Below are 5,640 nucleotides of genomic sequence, written 5' to 3' on the forward strand. Positions count from 1 at the left end.
TATTTCTGAGGGCTCTGTTCTGTTCCATTGGTCTATATCTCTGTTTTGGTACCAGCACCGTGGTGTTTTGGTTACTGTAGCCTTGCAGTATAGTTTGAAGTCAGGTAGTGTGATGCCTCCAGCTTTGTTCTTTTGGCTTAGGATTGTCTTGGCAATGTGTGCCCTTTTTTGGTTCCATATGAACTTTAAAATAGTTTTTTTCAATTCTGTGGAGAAAGTCATTGTTAGCTTGATGGGGATAGCATTGAATCTATAAATTACTTTGGGCAGTATGGCCATTTTCACAATATTGATTCTTTCTATGCATGAGCATGGAATATTCTTCCATTTATTTGTGTCCTCTTTTATTTTGTTTAGCAGTGGTTTGTAGTTCTCCTTGAAGAGGTCCTTCACATCCCTTGTAAGTTTCTCACCACTCATTGTTAACATTGTGTTGGAAGTCCTAGCTAATGCAGTAAGACAAAAAAGGGAAATAAAAAGAATACAAATTGAGAAGGAAAAAGTAAAACTTTCTTCACAAATGATATGATCATCCATGAAGAAAATCTGAGAAAATCAACAAACAAAATGTCTGGAATTAATAAGCAACTCTAGCAAGGTTGCAAGATATGAGATAAATATGCAAAGGTCAACTGATTTCATATATATCAGCAATGAATAAGTGGAATTCGAAATTAAAAACACAGCGTTATTTACATAAGTACCCTTCAAAATGAAATGCTTAGGTTTAAATCTAACAAAATATGGGCAAGCCTCTATATGAGGAAAACTACAAAACTGATGAAAGAAGTCAAAGAACTACATAAATGGAGATATGTTCCATGTTCATAGATAGGAAGACTCAATGTTGTCAGGATGTCAGTTTTTCCCAACTGATCTGTAGATTCACTGCAATCCCATCACATTCTCAGCAAGTTATTATTTTGATACTGACAAACTGATAAAATTTATGCGCAGAGGCAAAAGTCCCAGAATATCCAAGACAGTATTGAAGGAGAAGAACAAAGATGGAGGCCTGACAGTACAAGGCTTTAAGTCTTACTCTAAAGCTGTAGTGATGAGGACAATGTGAATTGGTGAAACAATAGGCAAATAAATCAGTGGAACAGAATAGAGAGGCAAGAAATACGCAGAAATATAGTCAACTGGTCTTTGGCAAAGGAACAAAGGCAATACAATGGAGAAAAGATAGTCTGTTTAACAAATGGAGGTGGAACAACTGAATATCCACTGAATTGAGTGGAATATCCACTGAAATGGAGGTGGAACAACTGAATATCCACTGAATTGAGTGGAATGTCCACTGAAATGGAGGTGGAATAACTGAATGCAAAAATATGTAGCTAGACATAGACCTTATGCTCTTCAAAAAATTAACTCAAAGTAGATGACACACCCACATGTAAAATGCTAAACTACAAAACCCCTAGAAGGTAACATAAGAGAAAAACTCTAGATACCTTGGGTTTGGTGATCACTTTTTAGATGTAATACCAAAAGCGCAATCCTTGAAAGAAAGAACGGATAAGTCTGACCTTATTAAAATAAAAAAAAATTCTGTTATCTGAAAAAGATTGTCAAGAGAACGAAAAGGTAAGCCACAAAATGGGAGAAAATATTTGCAAAAGAAAATCTGATAAAGAGTTGTTATCGTCCTTGCCCGCGCCCTCCTGGAGCGAGCAGTTCTCCAAGCACCCAGCATCCAGCCAGACACGCTGCACACCGACGGAGGGGACGTGGGCAGAGCAGTGGTGGCCAGGCTTGGGCTGGGGCTGCTGCTGCTGGCACTGCTCCTACCCACGCAGATTTATTCCAATCAAACAACTGTTGTAACAATTTCAAGTAACTCCTCCCAGAGTACTTCGACTGCCCCAAATCCAGCTACTGCCACCACCAAGGCGGCTGTTGGTGCCCTGCAGTCAACAGCCAGTCTCTTCGTGGTCTTACTCTCTCTTTTTTTTTTTTTTTTTTTTTTTTTTGAGAAGGAGTCTCGCTCTGTCGCCCAGGCTGGAGTGCAGTGGCAGGATCTCGGCTCACTGCAAGCTCCGCCTCCCGGGTTCACGCCATTCTCCTGCCTCAGCCTCCCAAGTAGCTGGGACTACAGGCGCCCGCCACTACGCCCGGCTAATTTTTTGTATTTTTAGTAGAGACGGGGTTTCACCGTTTTAGCCGGGATGGTCTCGATCTCCTGACCTCGTGATCCGCCCGCCTCGGCCTCCCAAAGTGCTGGGATTACAGGCGTGAGCCACCGCGCCCGGCCTTACTCTCTCTTCTACATCTCTCCTCTTAAGAGACTCAGGCCAAGAAACATCTTCTAAACTTCCCCATCTTCTAAACCCAATCCAAATGGCGTCTGGAAGTCCAGTGTGGCAAGGAAAAACAGTTATTCATCGAATCTACTAATTCCATTCCTTTTATTGACACAGAAAATGTTGAGAATCCCAAATTTGATTGATTTGAAGAACATGTGAGAGGTTTGACTAGATGATGCATGCCAATATTAAATCTGCTGGAGTTTCATGTACAAGTTGAAGGAGAGGCAACATCCAAAATAGTTAAGACATGATTTCCTTGAATGTGGCTTGATAAATATGGACACTTAATACTACCTTGAAAATAAGAATAGACTGAGACTATTATGTATATAATGTGGGGTAAAGATATTGAGTAAATTATGGGATATGCTAATTACATCTTCCTTTGACTCTGAAAATCAGTATTCTTGATGCAGAAGAAAGGAGATATACATGTAACATAAGAGGTTAAGTAAAAACTTCTAATTTTCAAATTGAATTGGAAATGACAATATGATTCCTGAAGTATTTTATCTTAATATACACAAATAAAAATAAATTTATTAAATCTAAAAAAAAAAGAAAATAAGAATAGAAATAAAGGATGTGATGGTGGAATGGAGATTCAGTTTTCATTTGGTTCATTAATTCTATAATGCCATAAAACAGGTAATATAAAAAGCTTCCATGATTCTATTTATAAGTACATTAGAAGGAACTTTCAGGTGTTACTGTAATTCCTCAACGTATTGTTTCGACAGCACTAATTTAATGCCGATGTATTCTAGATGAAGTTTTACATTGTTGAGCTATCACTGTTCTCTTGGGAACTGAACTCACTTTCCTCTTGAGACTTTGGATTTGACATTGCATTTGACCTTTTATGTAGTAATTGACATGTGCCAGGGCAATGATGAATGAGAATCTACCCCCAGATACAAGCATTCTCAGCAACTCTTGATTATCCATATAGAGTCAAATGGTAGGCATTTCCTATCACCTATTTCCGTTCAACAAGAGCACTACATTCATTTAGTTAAACGGATTCCAAAGAGTAGAATTGCATTGACCACGACTAATTTCAAAATGCTTTTTATTATTATTATTATTATTATTATTATTTTTTAGACAGAGTCTCACTTTGTCGCCCAGGCTGGAGTGCAGTGGTGCAATCTCAGCTCAGTATACCCTCTGCCTCCCAGGCTCAAGCAATTCTCCTGCCTCAGCCTCCCAAGTAGCTGGGATTTTACAGACACCCGACACCATGCCCAGCTAATTTTTGTAATTTTACTAGAGATAGGGTTTCACCATGTTGCTCAGGCTGGTTTCAAACTCCTGACCTCAGGTGATCCGCCTGCCTCGGCCTCCCAAAGTGCTGGGATTACAGGCTTGAGCCCCTGCACCCGGCCATCAAAATGCTTTTTATTTCTGCATATGTTGAATACTTTTTACAATTTAAAAAAAGATCTGTTTTGAAGGCAAAATTACAAATCTTGAAATTAAAAAGGCAAAAATGTAAAGGAGTCAAAACTGTAAATCAAGTATTTGGGAAGTGAAGACTGGAAGCTAATTTGCATTAAATTCACAAAAACTTTTATAGTCTTTCTGTATATACTTTTTTTTTCCTTAAAAAACAACTATGAATCAGAATAGCTATATTTGGAACACTTTTTGTTATCAGTGAATATTTTTAGATAGTTAGAACCTGGTCCTAAGCCTAAAAGTGGGCTTGATTCTGCAGTAAATCTTTTACAACTGCCTCGACACACAGAAACCTTTTTAAAAACAGACACTCCCCGAAGTCTTTCGTTCGCATGGTCACACACTGATGCTTAGATGTTCCGGTAATCTAATGTGGCCACAGTAGTTTGATGACCAAAGTCATTTTTTTCCATCATTAGAAAACTACCTGAGAACAAACAGATTGAACAGATCTGAAGCTACTGTGTCTGTGAAGGAACACTCTTTTGCTTTATTCCAGAATGCTATACATCTATTTTGGATTGTATATTGTGTTTGTATATTTATGCTTTGATTCATAGTAACTTCTTATGTTATGGAATTGATTTGCATTGAGCACAAACTGTAAATAAAAAGAAAGAAATGGCAAAAAAAAAGAGTTGTTATCCAAAATATACAAAAAAAAAAAAAAAAAAACCCCTCTTAAAACTCCACAGTAAAAACACAAACAACCTGATTAAAAAATGTGCCAGGCCAGGTGCAGAGGCTCACACCTGTAATCCCAGCACTTTGGGAGGCCGAGATCGGCAGATATGTTGAGCCCAGGAATTCAAGACTAGCCTGGGCAACATAGGGAAACCCCGTCTCTACAGAAAATTAGCTGGGCATAATGGCACACACCTGTAATCCCAGCTACTTGGGGGACTAAGGTGGGAGGCTGGCTTGAACTCAAAGGTTGAGGCAGCAGTGAGCCAAGGTTGTGCCACTGCACTGCACTCCAGCCTAGGCAACAGAGTGAGACCCTGTCTCAAAAATAAAAAATGTTCCAAAGACCTTTACAGATACATCACCAAAGAAGAAATACAGATGGTAAATAAGCATATGAAAAGATGCTCTACATCATATGTCATTATGAAAATGCAGATTAAAACAACAATGAGCTATCTCTACACGCCTACTAAAATGGCCAAAATCTTGAACACTGACAACACCAAATGTTGACAGGAATGTGAAATGACAGGAACTCTCATTTCTTGCTGGTGGGAATGCAAAATGGTACAGCCACTTTGGAGGACAATTTGGCTGTTTCTTAAAAAATGAAACATATTCTTACTATACAGTCTAATTGGGCTTCTTGGTATTTACCCAAAGAAGCTGAAAACTTATGTCCACACAAAACCAGCACACGAATGTTCATACCAGCTTTATACATAATTGCAAAAACGTGGAAGTAATCAAGATGTTCTTTAGTAGTGAATGGAAAAATAAACGGTGGCACATCCAGACAATGGAATATGATTCAGTGCTAGAATAAATAAGCTGTCAAGCCATGAAAAGACATGGAGGAACCTTAAATGCATATTACTAAGTGAAAGAAGCCAATATAAAAAGGTTACATGCTGTTTGATTCCAACTGTATGACATCCTGGAACAGGCAAAACAATGAAGACAATAAGAAGATTAGTGGTTGCCTGCCAGTGGCTGGTGGGAGGATATGGGAGGAATGAATGGGCAGAACACAGAGGATTTTTAAGGCAGCGAAAATACTCTGTATGATGCTATAATGATGGATACATGTCTTTATACATTTGTCCAAACCCATAGAATGTACAACAGCAAGAGTGAACCCTAGTAAACTGTGAATTTTGGGTGATCATGATGTGTC

General features: G+C 38.6%; 1 pseudogene; it reads left to right on the top strand.

The window, feature by feature from the left end:
* CD24P2 (CD24 molecule pseudogene 2) lies at positions 1,655-4,404 on the top strand (annotated as a pseudogene).

Source organism: Homo sapiens, chromosome 15 (assembly GCF_000001405.40).
Source record: "Homo sapiens chromosome 15, GRCh38.p14 Primary Assembly".
In the NCBI taxonomy this organism is placed as follows: Eukaryota; Metazoa; Chordata; class Mammalia; order Primates; family Hominidae; genus Homo; species Homo sapiens.